Genomic DNA, 17,413 nt, shown 5'->3' on the forward strand with positions numbered 1-17,413 from the left:
TATGTACCTAGTAACAGAGTTTCAAAACAAGTAAAGCAAGAACTGATAGCACTAAAAGGAGGAAAACACAAGTTTACCATTATAGTTGGAGACTTCAATACTCCTCTCTTAGTAATTGATGACACAAGTAGATGTAAAAATTAATACATATATAAAAGACTTGAACAACACTACAAACCTAATTTAGATATATAGAACATTCCACCTAATGACAACAGAATATACATTCTGGGCCATAAAATAAGTCTCAATAAATTTAAGAGAACTGAAATCATATAAAGCATATTCTCTAAGCATAACAGAATTATACTCGAAAGCAATAACAGAAAGCCATTAGGAAAATCTCTAATATTTGAAAACCAAACAATGCACTTCAAAATAACTCATGGGTCAAAGAAGAAATCCTAAGGAAAATTAGAAAATATTTTAAACCTAGTGAAAACAAAAACATTACGTATCAAAATCTGTAGGATATAGCTAAAGTAGTACTTAAAGGAAATTTTACAGCATTAAAACACTAGTGTTAGAGAAGAAGAAAGATCTCAAATCATTAACCTCAGCTTCTATTTTGTTAGAGAAAGAAGAGTAAATAAAATGCAAAGCAAACAAAAGGAAGGAAATAATAAAGAGTGGAAAACAATGAAATAGAACACAGAAAAACTAGAGAGAAAATTGATGAAATGAAAAGCTGGCTCTTTGAAAAGATCAATACAATTGATAAACCTCTAGCCAGATTGATCAGAAAAAGGAGCAAGAGCAAGAGAGAGAAAGAGAGTGAGAGAGAGAGAAAGAGGACACAAATCACCAGTGATAGGAATGAAAGAAATCTTATAGACATGAAAAGGATAATGAAACAATATTATGAACTACTTTATACCAATAACTTAAACAACTTAGGTGAAATGGACAAATTCTTTGAAAGACACAAACTATCAGAGCTCACTCAAGAAGATATAGATAACCTGAATAGCCCTATAGCTATTAAAGTAGCTGAATTCTTGGCTTAAAATCTATTCACAAAGATAACTCCAGGCACAGATGGCTTTATTGGTGAATTCCATTAAATATTCAAAAAAAAGAAACAATGCCAATACTATATAAACTCTTCTGGAAAACAGAAAAAGAAACTCCTACCTACTCATTTCATGAGGCCAGAATTACCCTGATACCAAAACTACACAAGGATATTTAGAAGAGAAAAAATATTAAAGATAAAGGCTACCTAATGGAAAAGGGTAAAAACAGTGAACACAGCAGAAAACATGGAGAAGAGGCTAGAAGATTGAAAAGACTTTAGACACTGTCACTTTGTCCTTTGTGGAATGCTTGCCCAGTGTAAAGCCCTGTATAGCATAGTGTTTAATAGCATGGCCTTTTGAAATCAAACTGTCTGCCTTGGTTCAGGTCCTGGCCCCATTATTTACTAACTGCATCACTTTGGCCAAGTTACCTAACTTCTCTGTGCACTTCCCATTTAAAACAGAACCCCCATTATGGGAGTTGCTATGAAGAATAAATGAGTAAATACATTTCAAATGCTTACACCAGTGCCTGGCACATAGTAAAGACTACATACATGTTTGCCGAAATTATTATTATACATGTTATATTAGTTGGTTGTTGTCTTTACTAAGTCATAATATTTTCTCTCAAAATGAGCTAAGCAGTATGATAAGTGACTACCCTCATTGTTTAGTCCCTTGTTGCTGCCATAAAAACGATGACAAACTTAGTGGCTTAAAACAGCAGAAACTTATTCTCTCACAGTTCTGGAGGCCTGAAGTTCAATATTAGCTTCACTGGGTGGAAATCAAGGGGTCAGCAGGCTGTGCTCTCCCTCAGGAGGTTCTACGGAAGAATCTATCCACTCTTTGCCTCTGTGTTTACATTGTCTCCATGTTGTCTGTGTCTTCCTCTGCCTCTCTAAGGACACTTGTGATTGTATTTAGGGCCCACCCAGATATAACCTCCATGTCCATTGTCTCCACCTTGTCTGTGTCTCCTTCTGCCTCTCTCTCTTTCTTATTTTTTTTGAGACGGAGTCTCGCTCTGTTGCCCAGGCTGGAGTGCAGTGGCGCGATCTCAGCTCACTGCAAGCTCCACCTCCCGGGTTCATGCCATTCTCCTGCCTCAGCCTCCCGAGTAGCTGGGACTATAGGCGCCCGCTACCACGCCCGGCTAATTTTTTGTATTTTTAGTAGAGACGGGGTTTCACCGTGTTAGCCAGGATGGTCTCGATCTCCTGACCTCGTGATCCACCCGCCTCGGCCTCCCAAAGTGCTGGGATTACAGGCGTGAGCCACCGCGCCCGGCCACCTCTCTCTTATAAGGACACTTGTGATTGTATTTAGCGCCCACCCAGATATAACCCCCCCATGTCAAGATCCTTAATTTAATCACATCTGCAAATATTCCTTTTCCTTATAAGGTAATATTTACAAGTTCTGGGGATAAGGAGCTAATATATTTGGGTGGTCATTATTCAGCCTACTATTTATCACTAGGGAAGGCTGATGTGGTGTGGAAATTATTACATAAACAACATTTATTTTTAAAGGATATTTAGCTCTCTCTACAACAAACCTGTTATGCAACCATGTTTCAAGGCACAATCCATTCGCCTAGAGATAGGTCCCCAAACTGTAAGCATTGTATCTACAATGAACTATAACACCACAATAGTGCTAACATACAAACTCAAATCTATACAATTATGAAACTGATCACAAACTTTGGGGGAGGGAAACGCGCCTAGACCTTATGATTCAAATAAAACAGCTTACTAAGGTCGCTAGTAAGAATCAAGAAGATAAAGAGAAACTAGACTTGGTGATGGCAGTTATAACTAAAGGAAGATTGAAAAAAATCAGCTCACTCTTAATGACCACAGGTACTGGAACTCAAAGCCTGCATGTTCACCCTACATTACACAGCAATGAAGAACTTCCATTCTAGAGTCAGTCCTCAGTTCAAAATCTGGCTAATGTATTCATGATTTGAACTCGGACAAGTTATTTCACCTCTTTTTTTTTTCTTTTTTCTTTCCTTTTTGTCACCCAGGCTGGAGTGTGGTGGCACGATCATAGTTCACTGCAACCTTGACCTCTTGGGCTCAAGTGATCCTCCCACCTCAGCTTCCTGAGTAGCTGAGACCACAGGTGCATACTACCACACCTGGCTTATTTTTAAATTTTTTTGTAGAGACAAGGTCTTGCCACGTTGCCCAGATTAGTCTCAAACTCTTGAGCTCAAGTGATCCTCCTGCCTCAGCCTCCCAACGTGCTGTGTTTACAGGTGTAAGCCACTGTGCCCAGACTATTTTCACCTCTTTGAGCCTGTTTCTTCATCTGTAAGATGGAAATGACATGAGTACTTACCTCAGAGTAGCTGTGAGGATTAAATAAGAATTAACGTTATGCTCTAGCATGACAATTATCATCTATGAGCACTCAATAAGTTGTAATTCCAATTATTATTATGCAATAAACACTACCGTTTCTAATACAACTCCATCTCTTCTATTTCAGGAGAAATGTTGTCTTATCTTCAGTTTCTTTATTGTCAGGAGCTATTCCTCTGGGGACTGTGATCTCATGGGGGAAAGGCACCCACATGAGAAAAGCAAAGAAAATAATGTAGTCTACAATTCTGGTATGCATATCCTTGGGGAAACAGGAAAAGAGGAATAAAGACGGGACTTTGTAAGCTAGTAAAGGACAGGAAGTAGGGCAAAGTGTGTGACTAAGAGCGCTGACACACAGTACTTGAGGTTGGGGGAAATAAGAAAAAAAATAAGAATTTAAATAGCAGAAGTCTAAGTAAAGGGATGTAAAATGGATGCATTCTCTACAGGAACTTATTAAATGATTAGAACTTTGCACTCTGGAAATATGAAGGCTGAAAGGAAGGAGTTATGGGTGATGTCATGAGGAGTACAGACAAGATAAACCCAAATGAGCTCATTTCAACATACCAGAACCCCAGTCCCGGGACTGAGATGAAACAGAGGATAGACAAGAGAAGCTGAAAACTCAAGAACGTTTGTGTTTAGGACAAATAAAACACTGCAAGCAACTCCAAGACATGGGTGGTGTGTTGTTTCTCAGTATTTCCAGCAGTGAGTCTAGTATCTCACATGCCATTAACAAACTGGGGTTGAATGAACAAACATATATATTCAAGAGTAAACATACTGGCAGTAGACGAGAAGGCTCATTAAAGGTTCTTCGCTAACTGCATGATTCCGTCTCTGGTCTCACTCCTGCCCAAACCACCCTTCACATTGCTGATGTGTTCTTTCTAAAAGGCGGATCTGATCTCGTTACTCCTAAGGGCTTTAACAGCTCCCTATGGCCTCCACCATAAAGTCCAAATTCCTTAGCCTGGTAAACCAAGCCTTTTGTGATTTGATGCCAGCCTACTTTTCAGCCTTATTTCTGCAATGACCCTCCTCAAATGTTCTGCTGTGGTCTTGAAAGGTTGTTTGGAGGTCCCCCCATATGTGTTCTCTCAAGCAAATACAACCTCACCTTTGCAGACATTGCTTCTGTCTGGCTGAGAAGCTTCCTCTTACCCTGTCACTTTCTCCAGAAAACTTTTCCTAACATTTCTAAGCAGGGACCATACTTCTATTATGGTACTAAGTACAATACCATAATTAATGTTTCCATGTCTTTCTTTCTTTAGAAACCTCTGTAGTACCTGGCCTGGGTTCTCCTCATCTTTGAATCCCCCCAGCTGCTAGAGTGAGGTATAGAAGCTTATTAAATGTTTGTTGAATAAATAAATATGATTGTAGAGGCCAAAAATAGAAATAAAGCTTAAATACTCAGGTAAACAAAGACAGAAGGATACTAAAAGGATGGGCAAGCCCATCCCTGTAATCAGAAGATTTTGTCATGGCTTGAAGCTACAATACACCCTTCCAACTGAGCTTTGTTATCATGATCAGAAACCAAATTTTTGGCTGGTTATACAATGGGCCTGACCTAGTACCACATTCCCTACTTATATTATTCCAAACCATTTCTAATACTCTGCCTTTGAGAAAGCAATTTCATTTTCACGGGCTTTAGTGTCACCATCTTATGTGAAGTAACCTCTATTTCAAAATGCCCTAAAAGCCAAGTTCTGCCCTCTTATTCTAATTCTCATTTTCTCTCTCTCTTACTAGGCGGAATGGAAAACTTCCTTGGTAATTTAAGAATGAGAATAGTCTGAGCCTAAATTTACTGTATACTTTAGGCAAGTTATTATACCTTTATACATCTCAACTTTCTCTTCCTTCAAATATCAATTCTATCTAGGAGGCCCCAGGAAATAAAGAAAGGTAAAACCTACACAATTCTTATTATGTACCTCACATTATTAACCTGTTTAATTCTATAATTCTTCGAGGTAGGGACTGTGATTCTCCCCCACTATACCCAAGAAGACTAGAGCAGAGAGAGTACAGATGGAAGGCGGCTGGGAAGTTCACAGCTCATGAGTGGCAGAGGCAAGGCTGGAACCCCAGCATTATGGCTCTAGTGTCCCTGCAGTGAACCCTTACCTCCAACTGCCTCTCTGCAGGCCAGCGGAAGATACTGTGCTTGGAACATAACTCTAGCACATTGAAGTATTAAAGGGCTTAAAAAGTATATACTTTTTCAAACAAATGCAAGCCTTATTTGTAACTGAAAACAAAATAAAAGTGGGAAGAGAAGGAATGGAGACACTGAATGGTAGGCTTCAGATATGGGACAGTGTTCCATATTTCAATCCAAATGCATTTTACAGCCAAGATTTTAAGACCTGAAACCATCCATCCCGTACAGCTAAAATAAGAAGGATCTCATGATTTTAGCCATCAAGGAGACGGATGTGTCCTACACTGGTACTATATCTAAAATTAAGATGACACTGTCACTAGATGAACATCTACTTTGGGGTATGGCTTTATGGACCAATGAATTAGTTTTTTCTCAGGAGCAGCAACCAAAGAATAGAAATAACAGAAGATACACTCCTGTTAAGCTTTTTGTACAGAAGCAGAATTTTATTTCTAGAAACAGCATTAAATATTTAATTAAGTTCACATTACCCTATACTAAAAAAATTAATTTGGGGCAAAACTTGGAAGAACTAGGTGTAATGCAGTACTTTCAAATTATCAACTGCTTATAATTGTATTTCCTTCTGGACAATGAAAATACATATTTTTTATTTAGAAAGTGCTGAATAAGGCCGGGCACATGACTGATGCCTGTAATCCCAGCACTATGGGAGGCCGAGGAGGGCAGATCACGAGGTCAGGAGTTCAACACCACCCTGGACAACGTGGTGAAACCACATCTCTACCAAAAATACAAAAATTAGCCGGGCATGGTGGCACACACCTGTAGTCCTGCTATTCGGGAGGCTGAGGCAGGAGAATCGCTTGAACCTGGGAGGCGGAGGTGGTGCAGTGATCCAAGATTGCACCACTGCACTCCAGCCAGGTCGACAGAACGAGACTCCGTCTCAAAAAAAAAAAAAACAAAAAAAACAAAAAACAAAAAAAAAGAAAGTGCTGAATATTTGTTGAGTAAATTAATACTATTATAGAGATTGATTCATTAATACTATTTTAGAGATAGATTCATTTCCAGATGGTTCCTTAAAACGAACGGGTGCCTTATAATAGTCATCATTTGTTCTGGAGAACTTACTCCTCAAGTCTCTTGAAAAGTCTAAAGCCACCTTTATCTGTACCCATGGTTTCTACATCTTTTCTTCCCCCATTAGAAAGAGAACAGAGAAAGATCAGGTTACATTGCTTCTGTGGGCCTGTAAAAATTCCTGCGAGGTTCTCTCTTCTGTCAGGAAAAGTTTCCCTAGCAACCATATTTACACACTCACTCAATTCCCTCCCCTCCTTTGATTCACTGGTGGGTATAAAAATTAATTTGCATTGATTTGCTGAAGCTTACAAGTTAATCATTCTAATAGACTCACAAAATTTTAGACGCTGGTCTCTGCCCAAAACTTGTTTCTCAAAGGGCCTGTTCACTTTCTTTAGAAATTTGAATGTAATTATCTTCAGTTTAAATATTTTTAAATACATTTAATATGTATTCGGAATGTTTCTGGCTTCAGGTAGAGAAAATAATATTTTTCTAAGGGCATCTGGCCTATATTATTAGTTAGGACGATCAAGAAACAAAGAGATACTTTAGTTCTGAGTAAGCAAGGAGTCAGATTCTTATCCAGCCATAATAAGGCCCTGGAAGATAAAAGTCAAGGACCAAAACAAAAAGTCTGGGTCACATGAAATGATGAATCAGGCCTAAGATTCTGGGTGATCAGAGGTCAGGACCTGGATAACAGGAATGGGACATGAATTATCAAGAATTGAGTTTCATTAATTCATTCACTAAGTATTTGCTGTGCAGCTACTAGGGCATGGTGTCGGGAAAAGAGCAGTGAATAAGCCAGACACAGATGTACCCTCATAAAATTTAAGAGTCAAATATCTGAATAGTGAACAAATGTTGATTTTATTATTGAACCAAGTATCTTTGGACTAGGGGTGCTCACTGTATAATTTCCTATAAGGGCCAGAATTGGTTTCAGACTAGGAATGGCACAGAGACCTATAGATAAAGATAAATTCAAGAAGTCTTCACTGGAGTAGATAAGTTGGCAAGTCAAGCAGTCTTGGACATATACAACGTTTCTTTACATTTAACCTTCAACAACGATATATGAGCCTATCACAGGAAACAAGGCTGGATACTTTGCAATATACCTACGTTTTATAAAGAATAAAGTGAAAGCCGATAAAGGTATGAGTTATTCTTAAGCTCTTTTAACAACCATTTACTGAGCATCTGTGACATTCAAGAAATAGTTTTAGGAACTGAAGTTAAGGGTATGAAAAAGACATGGTCCCTAGCAATTATAACAATGTGGTAAATGCTATAATGAGATGCTGAAGTACGAAGAAATATCAAAGAGGAAGATTACTAATTCTTAAAAAGCAAGCTGGGAAATGCCTTCTGAGAGGTAATGCTTGAATTGAGTCTTAAAAGATAAGTAGAAAATTTTGTTTTAAGCTGGTAAATGTTGGGGTAATTTGTTACACAGCAGTGGATAACTACTACAGTGCCTTATGGAGACCATGCCACAGCATAACTAGGAGACTATGGAGAAGACCCAGCCCAGCCATGTAAACTGTGTTTCATGATGTATACTGCAGTTTATATTGGACATCTCTTCATATTTTTCTTCTCACGTTTTCTTAGGCTTACCTGGTCCATGTTGGGCATAGAAAATGAGAACAAACACTCTGAACGGGGATGAGACAGGTAATGGGAGGAGGCAACACAATCTCAGTCTTGTCTGATTTCCCCCACAAAGGAATCCAGGTTGGTTGGCGTAGGACTTGGTCAAGTGGTAAGTGTCAAGTGATGTCAGGACTTGGTCAAATCATTACTCAGAGAGACCAGAAGTGAGAGGAGCAAGAGGATGAGTAAAAATTGTTTCTGAGAGAACCATAACCATGAAACCCAGAAAAACCTAATTGGTTCTCAGTTCACTAATCACTTTCCTATTTCTTTCCTAAAGCCAAAAATGAGAGAAAATAGAAGTTTCTGTTTTTCATGATTCATGTGGGTAGATGAAGGAACAGAGTAAGCAACAAAGGCAGGACAGAACAGAAGCATTCCAGACAATGGTGGCAACCAGTGGGGTTCAAAGCTGCTGGGGGGGGGTCCATGGTTTGAGGGTCAAAGGGTGGCATCAACGTGGTTAAAAAGGCACCAGATGAGGGCAGACAAGTTGTAGTGTACCTGTTCCACTCCAATTTCTGTTTCAGTACGTTGAAAAATGGTCTCCATATCTTCCCATGAACAAATGGGTATACCTGACTACAAAAGGAATAGAAATGAACTTGTGTTGTATTTAAACTGGGAGTAACAATAGCATCAGGACTATAACTCTCTCCAGTAATACCCTCAAAACATGGTGGATGAGTTTCCAGAAGTCAGTCTAAGTAAGCAATTCCTTGCCTCTTTATTCTCTATTCTCTTCATATTGACTGGGCATTTCCTTTTGCCCTTCACACCAGCAAACTCACAGAGTCCAAAATGAGGGGACCATAGGAAAGTGTGATTGTGCAGCATGACATAGCAAGGACTTAGGCCACCTACCCAAACCAAAGGCCACAGCACAAAATGCTTTCCTACCTTCAGGAGGTAGTACAGATACCCTCAGGAGGTAGTACAGATACCTTCAGGCAGAACTGGGTATATAATTTGTGGGGCCTGGTGCAAAATGAAAATGTAGAACCCCCTTGTTAAAAATCATTAAGAATTTCAAGACAGCAACAAGAGAGTATTAAACCAAGCATGGGGCCCCTCTAAACACAGGGCCCTGGGAGACTGCACAGGCTGCATACCCACAAAGCTGGCCCTGACTTCAGAGACAGTATAGCATGATCCTTCAGGAAAGCTTTAGAGTCTGAGCTGGATCCAAATCCCATCTGTGCCACTCATTAGCTATGTGACCTCTGGCAATTTACTTAGTCTTTCCGTGCTGCCAAGAGGTTGTGTGGTTATAATCTGGTGCTGGGAAGATTAAATGGGATAATGAACAGAATGTATACAAAGAGCTTAGCACGATGCCTAGCACATAGTGAGCACTCAATAAACGACAGCTACACTATTACTGTTCAGTGAAACATTCAGGTAGTTATCAAAGCAGTAAGTTTAAGAAATGAACTGCTGACTTGCTATTAAGGATATGAAATAAAAAGAATAATATTTTAGGTCAACGAAAATAATGAAGCAGACAGGGAAAATTAATCTTCCGCTTGACTGTGCTGCCTTCACTAATCACTTTTCTATTTCTTTTCTTCCTTTCATTGCCAAACATACAAAAGGTGATCCGCATGCTGTCTCCACTTCTTATCGGCATCTCATGCCACAGTTCTCTCTCATGTGGCTTTTCATATCCCCATGGCCACCCCCGCCACTCTACTGAAGCTATCATTTTCAAAAAGTTACCAATGACCTTCTGTTTACTAAGTATAATGAATGTTTCCCACTCTTTCTGTACAATTTCAAACTGCTGACGAATTTCTGCAGCTCAAAACTTTTTCTTCTCTTGACTTCTGTGATACTACACTCTCATGGTTAATAGCGTGTCTAACTGGCCTTGGCATCTGTCAGGTACACAACAAATGGTGGTGAATAGAATGCATTTGTTGGATAAATACATTAGATGGTTCTCTTGCTTCTTTTCTTATTTTCTACCATACGGACTCCATGCCTTCTCCCTCCCTCCCTAAATGTGGGATGTATCTTCAAGCTTCAGTCCTTCATCCTCTATTCTATTTCTATGCTGTTACCAGCAGTGAACTCAGCTAATCATATGGCTTCAATTATCACCATTTTTTTTCTTTTCTCAACTCCTATAATACCACGCATTAAGCATCTCAAAAAGGTACTAAATGACTGCTATACATTTGTGATTTCATTTAGTCCTCACAACTATATTGGGTAGGTGGCATTATTACAGATGAAGAAACTGAAGTCAAAGTCATGTAGCAAGTACCTGGTAGAACTGGGATCCAAATCTTTGTTTAGCTGAGAATAACCCCCATACTACACCACCACTCTCATTTTCCTGTCTCCTCCACATCACAAATACAGGATAGTATTTGCACACAAGCAGGTGTTCAGTAAATACACTGACTGAGAAGATTGCTTAAATACCGCCCATGATTTTCCAGCACTTACAGTATCATCAATCTTAGCAGACCGTATTAAGCATGTCACCCCAGTGACACCTTCTTTACACGACTTGATCTGTAATATAATTCAAAACAGGAAATTTGCCAAAAACTCACCATAATCCATTCTAAAAATAAATGTGGTCTAAGCAAAGCAAAAAGGCCTTTATCTGATTCAAATATTAGAAGAGTTTTGGGGATGAGGTCCACTTTGCTACTCTGGGCCCAACCTTGCTCAGCTTCTAAATGATCAGGAAGTAAAAATAGGCTGGCTAGTTGATGGCTAATGAGGTTAAATGGACTATTTATAGTTCTAGAGATAGATGCTAAGACAGCAGAATGGGATTTTCTCTGCTCTGTTAGCTAAGACCTCATTAAAAGAAGCCCAATGCATGAGACATGGGTGGAAACTGGGATGAAGAGAAGAGGATAATAGTAAGGAGGGAGGGTGAACAGAAAGGAGGAGGCATTGGAAAGCCTATGGAGGGCCTGGCCCAGTCTGGCAGATCCACCGCTGTTCTGCACAGCTGGCACCATGCAACAGTGGGCTCAGCTGCATGTGCACGATTCATGGTCTCAATCCTGGACTACTTGCCCTGACCCATCTCACACTCCAATCCTCTCTTAATCCAGATCCTTCCAGCTTCTGATCTTACTACTTATTTCCCCAGGTCTCACAAATTTGACATTCAGCATTGCTTCCCTAGTTATGGTCATGTATTCTCTTTTTGTATGATTTAGATTTGCCCCTCTCAGATGCTGCCTCTAGTGCCAAACATTATGCCCAGTTTCAGGCCCTCTCCCTTGGAGCAACTGAAAACTACTCCTATTCAACCTCCACATGATGGACCCTTACTTGGGAAGATATGGGTGACAAAGACCAGGAATGAGGCTCAGAAAAACTGATGAGGGGAAAATATGGGGGAGAAAACAATAAGAAAAATATCACTGGACAACTGTGCTGGGAATAAGAAATTCTAGGCTACTTTTAGAAAGTTACATTACAGAGGAAGGAAAAAAAGCCATAGTTACAATAGAAAGCCATTCCCTAGAGATAACATATTCTTTATGTGGCTGCATTCGCTGTTCCCCCGCTTTGGCTGCCTTTTCAGTCCTTTCCAATTTTCTCTGCAAGGTAAACTCCTATTTATCCTTCAACACCTTGCTTAAATGTGTTCTCTGGAAAGCCTTCCCTGGTCCTCTCAGACAGCTAATTGTTCCCTCCTCTGTGCTTCCAAAGCCCTTTGCATTCACATCTATTATGCTGTTAATCACTTTTACTAGCAATTTCATTTGTTTCTCCTACCACTTCTTTCAGGACAAGGACTAATTATCTTATTCATCTTTGCATCCCCAAGACATAGCAGAGTGCCTGGCATATGCCAAGTATTTGTTGTTGGGTGATAAAAGACATCAAGAGCAACGTGGAAGTGGAATTTGCACTTCACTTGCAAAATCAAATTGGTTTCTGGTACTTTTCAATTGTAACCGCATTTTCTCTTGATTTAGAAGGAACGACTTTAGACTCACAAAAGAAACTCTATTGATATCACGGGCGCATTAGCCGATTTTTCATCCCCACTGGTGATAGAAATATTTTTTACCCCACACTTCCAAGAAACTCCCAGGGCAAGCTTAGTATCAGTGGCGCATCTCTCCTCCTACCATTTCTATTGTCGCAAAAGCTAAATTACACTGTGAGCCTAAAGCTGCCACCAGTCTTAGTGAATTGGGGGAGGGGGATAATTACAAGAAGACACTTCTGTAGCAGACCTGGGGAGGGGGGAAGATGAATTTAAACCTCGCCTTATAAGAAATTTGTTAGACACTCACGTAGAACAGCCGCTTCCTCCGTGTATGACAGACCCGATCCAGGTGTCCAGCAGCGACCTTTTCCCATGGGTGTCAGGTCATCACTCAGCACAGAAAACAAGGGACCAGCGCCTTTCTAGGGCATCCCTCCTTCTCCAACCTTGGGGCCCGCTTTTCCTTTAGACGACTGTTCTCTCCTCCCAGTTCCAGCAACCCCCGGTTCCCTCTGCTGGTGCCCCCCACGCCACGCTTGACTCTGGGCCGAAAGTGCCAGCGGCTGCGCTGTCACGCCGCGGCTGGGGAGCGGGCGCCCCGGTCAGGCCCGACGCCCGGGTCTCACCGCACTCTGCGGGACAAGCGGAGCAGGCGCAGGCCGCGCAAGACCACGGGCTGCCGCGGCGCGGGCCTCTCCGCAGGAGGGGGGTCGGTCCCCGGAGAAAGCGAGTCACTGACGGGACCTTGGCCCGTTCCCGTTCCGGTTCCCGTTCCCGGCAAGCCTCGGCCCCAGGCTCTCCGCAGCCCTCCTCGCTGCGCGTTCCCGGCCCGGGGGCGCCGCGCTCTGCCGGTCGCCGGCCGGGACTGCGGGCTCCCAGCGCGGGCCCCACGCCGCGGACCAGGGGTCAGGCCGCCTGCCGCCCGCCTGTCCGTGCCCATGGCAATGCCCCGCCCCGCGCGGCCCGTCCCGGCCGAGCGCTCCGGCCCGACCGTGACAGCTGGGTGCCCAAAGGGTTAAGCCGGCAGCGCGGCGGCCGGTGTCCCCCGCGCGCTGCCCGTCAGCCGCGAGCTGGCCCCAGCGCGCACGCGCCCGCCCGTTACCTGCGGTCGCCTCCGCGCTCCTCCTCCACCTGGCCGCTCTCTCCCGGGGGCCGCCCCTCAGCCCGCCCCCTCGGCTCGGCGCCGCGCACCCTGCTGGCTGCTCGGACGCTGCCCGCGGAGGAGGGGCGAGGGCGCTATTACCATATATTAGCATACCAGCGCGCGTCACGTGGCCGCTCCAGCCAATGGTCACCCTAGAAGGGCGGGGATTGGGCGGAACACGCCTTAGTGCTGCTCCCAGCCTGAACCGGTGGCCATGGCAACGGGCGGGTGGGCGGGGGAGTGGGGAGGTGCCGGAGCCCGGTGCCCCCGGGAGCATCTCCTCTACCTGAGCGCCACATGGCGACCACGCGCAGTTTTCCCACCTTGCGGATGGAGAGATTTGTCTCAGCCAGAGAGATCCAGATTCAGCCAACATTTATTGAGCACTTACCACGTGCCTTAACACTTTGCTGCAGAAAGTGATGTCTGTCCTATTAACCCCACTAGATAGTAGGGAAAGTGGAGGCTCAGAGAGGTTAGATCATTCGCTCAAGATCATACAACAACATTAAATGGCAAAAGTGGAGATCTAAGATCATTTTTGACTTCAGACCCGGGACAATCGCCAGTTTTTTCAAATCCAGCAGGGGTCTCCTAGCACCTCCTCACAATTTCAGGTGTGCTGTGCAGTTGAGAAAATCCTTGTACATAATTTGTACAGCGTTTTACTGTTTCCTTACAGTGACCTTTGAGATTAATAGGCAGAATAGTTATGCCTGTATTACAAAGGAGAGAAAATGAGGCTCAGAGAGGCCATGTGACATAATTTAGGTCAAACAGCTATTAAGAGCTAATGCTGAGTTACACTGATTTATACTGAAGCTCATTACTTTAGAAACTTTTAAATTCAGTCTTCTCAACATGGTGGAATTACTGTGACCATTCTATGGATTAAGAAACCGAGACTTTGGGAAGTTAAGCAAATTGCCCAACGTTATACAGCTAGTAAGTAGCAGATTTAGGGTTCAAATCCAGGTTTATCTGGCCCCCAAAGCTAGTCTCATTGTATCAGATTTATTTAATTTAGGATTGGACTTAGAATCCCTTCTCTAATAGAATTTTGTCTCCTCTCAAGATATGATGGTGTTACGTCTTAATCCCACAGCAAATATACCTTGTGACAAGTGACATGTGTTAAGGTCACAGAGGCTATATATTAAGAGAATAGAGTCACCAGGTAGGTAAGGGGCACTGTAGAATTCTCTGTCTTTCCTTTGTTTTTTGTTTTTTTTTGTTTGTCTGTTTTTTGTTTTTTGTTTTTTTTGAGTCCGATCTCGCTCTTGTCACCCAGACTGGAGTGCAATGGTGCGATCTTGGCTCACTGCAACCTCTGCCTGCTGGATTCAAGCTATTCTCCTGACTCAGCCTCCTGAGTAGCTGGGATTACAGGCATCTGCCACCACACCCGGCTAATTTTTGTACTTTTAGTAGAGACAGGGTTTCGCCTTGTTGGCCAGGCTGGTCTCGAACTCCTGACCTCAGGTGATCTGCCCGCCTTGGCCTCCCAAAGTGCTGGGATTACAGGCATAAGCCACCGCGTCCGGCTTATGCCTGTCTTTCCATTTTTACCTTAGGGATTTGATAGTTTAGCTAAAGGCACAGTAGTTTAAAAACACAAACATCTGTGTACAGACTTGTTTAGCTCAGTGATTCTCTAATTTTATTTATTTATTTATTTTTTAGAGACAGAATTATGCTCTGTCATCCAGGCTGGAGTGCAGTGGTGTGATCATAGCTCACTATAACATTGAACTCCTGGGTTCAAGTGATCCTCCTGCCTCAGCCTCCCGAGGAGTAGCTGTGACTACAGGCATGCACCCCAACACCCGGGTAATTGTTATGTTGCCCAGGTTTGTCTCGAACTTCTGGCCTCAAGCAATCTTCCTACTTGGGCTTCCCAAAACTCTGGGATTCACAGGTGTAAGCTACCACATCTGGCCATGGTTCTCTAACTTTAATATATTTATGGATTACTGGACAGGGCTCTGTGCCTCAAACTAAATGTGCTAAACTTTATAGACATTTAAAGGGATCATCAAAGGTAATTTTGAATATACGTACATTTCACCTTCCTAGACTGCTTTAAAACCCAATTTCCTCCTAAAACATGACTGGTGCTTAAGAGCACAAACATAGAAGCAGACCTGCTTGGGTTAAAAATCCTGACTTGGCCACTCATTGACTGTATGACCTTGGGAAAGTTACTTAAACTCTCTGTGCCTCAATTTCCTCATTTGTAAAATAGGATAGAAATGTTGTGAGAATTTAATGACTTACTGTATGTGTGTATATATATATACACACACTTAACTTCCCAAAGTCTCGGTTTCATATATATATATATATATAAACGTTTCATATATAGGCCCCGGCCCAAGGATAAACCCTCCATAATTGATAGCTAATGTCATTTTTGTTATTATCCCAGGAGTTTTCCTAGGAACAGACAACCCACATGTACACAATATCTCAAGGCTTCCTAGCTAGCTTTGGAATTCTGAAGCTGCCTTCCTTCCCTCGTGGCATATTAAACAGCCTGTTGTGCTGCTGAAGGCTTGTTATCTCTCCAAATGACATTCTCTCTTCTTGGGATCATAAATAATTCCTGCACTCAAAGGAACTGGTTTCTCTTGCACATCTCCTAGCACCAAATTACTGGAGTTGCTCCTTGCAGAAGGGGATCTTGACAAACAGTGGAGTCATAAGTCAGGCTCCTTGAAACACTTTTATGAGCGCCTTAATGAGGGAGATGAGCTGTCATCAGGAACTCATCCCATCCTTCCTGACCACAGGAAATGAGCTTTTTGTGCTCAAAAGGTTTCCAAAGCTGAGGCGCAAAGAGTTTTCAGGAAGTGGGCCAGGGATGAGAAGTTGTTGACTCAGAGAATCCCAGGGCTAAACAGCCCCCATCCTGCCATTCACCCTAGAGGGTCAAATGACTCATGGTCTTATTGCAGCAATAGCACCAAAGGGTGGTGTGTGTATGTGTGTGTGTGTGTTTGTGTGTGTGGTGTTAATCCTCCCCACTTCCCCATATGTGCACACTCCAACAGCCAACCTATTACCCCCTGACAAAAAGATACTGCAGAATAGAACACTGGTTAAGAGCATTGTCTCTGGAATCAAAGATCCAGATTTGAATCCTGCTTCTACTACTCAACTATCTATGTGATGTTAGGAAACTTGCTTAACCTCCCTGCATATCAATTTCCACATCTGTAAAATGGAAATAATAACAGTGTCCATTTTATAGACTCTTGTTAGGATGAAATGAGTTACTAACATAAACTGCTTAGAACACCCCATAGTATACACTAGAGATGTATTTGCTAATTAAACAAGAATAAATGTATAAATCCAGTACAAGCAACGTACTTTCTATAGAAGACACTGCAGCTTAAGTGAAGTTCCCTAGGCCCTCTCTGATGTGCTGCCTGCCCTCCAACCCCCTTCTGACTGGCATATAAATGTTGCCCAGGAGTAGGAAGACATGTGCTTGGGAACTTTGGTTTGCACCTGGCTCTGCCACATTCCTTGCTCTGTGAACTTGGACAAGTTATTTTACATCTCTGAGCCATAGTTTCATTATTTGTGAAATGAGACTAATTTCCTCCCAGAGTTGTTCTGAGCACTCAATCAGATAGTGTCTGGCAAGAGGTGATGAGGGCCTGAACTGGACAGAGGTCATACCTCATCAAAATCACCTTGTTCTTTTCCTGAGTTGTTTCTGGCAAACATCTTTGCTCTACATTAATGAGAATTACTAACATTTATGGAGCACTTAGCCTGGCCTTGTGCTATATACATCGTTTTATTTAATCCTCAAAATAAACCTAAGCCTCTGGGAGATTAAGTAACATGTTCAAGAAGATCACACTGTAAGTCAGTGGCCAAGCCAGGATCTATGCTGGGACTATCTGATTCCCAAGTCCATGCTATTAACCCACCACGCTACATGCATGCCTCCTACTCCAGCTTGGCTCATAGGAC

General features: G+C 42.3%; 1 protein-coding gene across 7 annotated transcripts in view, besides 1 other annotated feature; it reads right to left on the bottom strand.

The window, feature by feature from the left end:
- Window positions 1-13,501, bottom strand: part of PHC2 (polyhomeotic homolog 2) — a 107,470-nt gene extending 93,969 nt beyond the window's left edge. For 6 of the 7 annotated variants that reach the window (NM_001385123.1, NM_001330488.2, NM_001385121.1 and 3 more), the window contains exon 1: window positions 13,382-13,501. The gene's annotated coding sequence lies outside the window, so the exon portion shown is untranslated. Of the gene's footprint in view, window positions 1-12,586; window positions 12,644-13,381 lie in introns of all 7 variants that reach the window. The other variant, NM_001385119.1, reaches the window with a different exon arrangement.
- Window positions 13,185-13,704: a silencer, noted in NCBI's record as "silent region_624". NCBI's record gives its function as "represses an Ori minimal core promoter by ATAC-STARR-seq in GM12878 lymphoblastoid cells {active_cell/tissue: GM12878}" and the evidence as "EXISTENCE:reporter gene assay evidence [ECO:0000049][PMID:35858748]".

Source organism: Homo sapiens, chromosome 1, assembly GCF_000001405.40.
Source record: "Homo sapiens chromosome 1, GRCh38.p14 Primary Assembly".
NCBI lineage: Eukaryota > Metazoa > Chordata > Mammalia > Primates > Hominidae > Homo > Homo sapiens.